Genomic DNA, 2,783 nt, shown 5'->3' with positions numbered 1-2,783 from the left:
ACATGAATTTTAAATATATATGTGAAAAACAAAACAACTTAGCTTCTAGAAGATAATATAGAATATATTTATGACCATGTCACAAAAAAGTGTTTGCAACAAGATACAAAACACTCTAAATACAATAAAATATTATAATGAATTTTACCATTTTGACATTAAGAATTTCTCTTCATCAAAATATTTCTGTGGGTGCCTGAATTTTTAAAATGCTCCATCCCCAAGACTTAATTCCCCAATCCCTGGAACCTGTGGATGCGATGAGATATCGCTCCTATGATTGTGTTATGGTATATGGCATGTTTCATTTGTCAAAACAGAGATTATCCAGGGCTAATCACATGAGCCCTTAAAAGCAGGGAAATTTTGGTGGCAGAAAAAGAAGGCATAAGAAGTCAGAGAGATTTGAGGAGTGAGAAACACTACACACACGATTGCTGCCTTTGAACTTGGAGGGAGTCATCTGAGATGGAATGCGGGTGGCAGTAAGGAAAGGGAAACTCAGATCTACCACCACATGGAGCTGTACTCTACCAACAACCTAAATGAGCTTAGAGGAAAATTCTTCCCCTTCAGCCTCTAGATAAGAATTCATCCTGCCTGACACCTTCATTTCACCCTTGTGAGGCCGTGACCAGAGAACCCCACCAAACTCTCCAAGACTTCTGACCTACAGAATTGTGAAATAATAAATGAGTATTGTAAGATGTCTTATAGCATCTTATTAAATAGTATGTAACAAGTATATATACAATATGCATTGTATGGCTAACATCATGCCATTAAGCAATTGGAAAGGCCCGCCACCAAATGTAAAAAGAATTCCTAAAAATCAATAAGAAACCACTAGACAACCTGGCAGAAAAATGTTCACAAGACTTGATCAGGTACTTCAAAAATGCATATCTAAAAGGCTAGTAAACACAGGGAGAGGTGTTAGATCTTTGTCATTGGAGAAATGCAAATAAAAATCACAGTGGAATACACATAAAGCTGGCTAATATGAAAAGGACTGGCAATACCAAGTATTAGTGAGCAATAGAAACTCTCATAAATTAATTGTAAAAGGGTAAATTGGTATCACCACTTTGAAAATAATCTGGCTGCAAAAGATGAATATATGTGTATCTTCAATGACACAGCAATTCTTCTGCTAGGTATATTCCCCACAGAAATGCATACACCTGTGCAGGAATGTTTACAACACTATTTGTAATAACCTCAGATTGGAAACAAACCAAATGTCCACCAAGGGTAGAATCTAGAGCAAACTGTTGCATGTTCTTCAGTGAAATGTTACATATGATATTCAATGGAATATTATTGGTACAAAACGCACAAATGAATTAAATAAGCACAATACAAAAGAATTCGTGTTGTTTGATTCCTTGTTTATAATGTTCAGTAGGTGAAACTAATCAGTATGCAAGAAGTCAGAATAGTGGAGGAGAAAGGAACTAATGATTAATAGAAGACATGGCTGAGGTTTCTGGGCTTTTTTTTTTCTATTTCTTGATTTTGTGGTACTTTGAGGTTCATTTTGAGGTTAAATAATTGAGCTGTACATTTTGTCTTTTGTGTGTTCTTTATATGTGAATATTTTACATAATTATAATAACATTTAAAATAAAGTATAATTTTAATAAAATAATAAAAAATAAAGAAAAAACTTGTCCAAAAATGTGGGACAAGTAGAAATAAGAAAGTAAAATAGTAGCAACTAGTTCAAATATATAAATAATCACCAAAAACATGAATTCATTACATCCACCTTCTAAAATACAGAGATTGAGGCTGGGCATGGTGGCTCACGCCTGTAATCCCAGCACTTTGGGAGGCTGGGTGGATTGCTTGAGCTCAGGAGTTCAAGACCAGCCTGGGCAACATGGTGAAACCCGGTTTCTACTGAAAATAGAATAGGTGGCCCACGCCTGTAGTCACAGCTACTCAGGAGGCTGAGGTGGGAGATGACTTGAGCCCCAGGAAGCGGAGGTTGCAGTGAGCCAAGATCATACCACTGCACTCCAGGCTGGGTCACAGAGCGAAACCTTGTCTCAAAAAAAAAAAAAAAAAAAAAAAAAGGAACAGAGATTGAATGGTTAGATTAAGAAAAATATCAAACTCCATTGCATTTGGAAGAGACACAACTAAAACATAAGAAATATAAGAACACTGAAATGTTCAGAGTAAGATGAGTCAGAAATAGCCACATATCTCTCTCAATTATGGATAAATCAAATAGATAAAAAAGTCAATAACAATATTTAGGTTTGAACAACACAAATTATAAATTTGTACTGATGCCCTTAAGTAGAACTCAGCATCCAACAGCCCTGAGATATACATTCTCCTCAAGCACACATGGTTTATTTTCTGAAGTTAATCATGGACTAGGGCATCAAGTAATTCTACAAAAATTCAAAGAGCCTGAGTAAGAAAATCCACACTTTCTTGCCACAAATACTACAAATGTAATTATTTCCACTCATAGCTGTATATACAGCAGAAATTCTTGTTCCTGTGCCTCAGTGGAGGTGAACGAGAATGTCTCACCAGGACAAATGAAATAGGAATAGCTCAAATCTCTATCAACAGGCAAACAGTTAAAAACATCATAGTTCATTACCATTAAAAAAATATTAACTAGCAGTGAAAATGCACAAGCTAGAGCTGCACACATGATTGAATCTTAAAAAACAAAAATTGAGTGGCCGGACGTGGTGGTTCATGCCTGTAATCCCAGCACTTTGGGAGGCTGAGGTGGGTGGATCACCTGAGGTCAG

Source organism: Homo sapiens, chromosome 17, assembly GCF_000001405.40.
Source record: "Homo sapiens chromosome 17, GRCh38.p14 Primary Assembly".
In the NCBI taxonomy this organism is placed as follows: Eukaryota; Metazoa; Chordata; class Mammalia; order Primates; family Hominidae; genus Homo; species Homo sapiens.
This window is presented reverse-complemented; position numbering follows the sequence as displayed.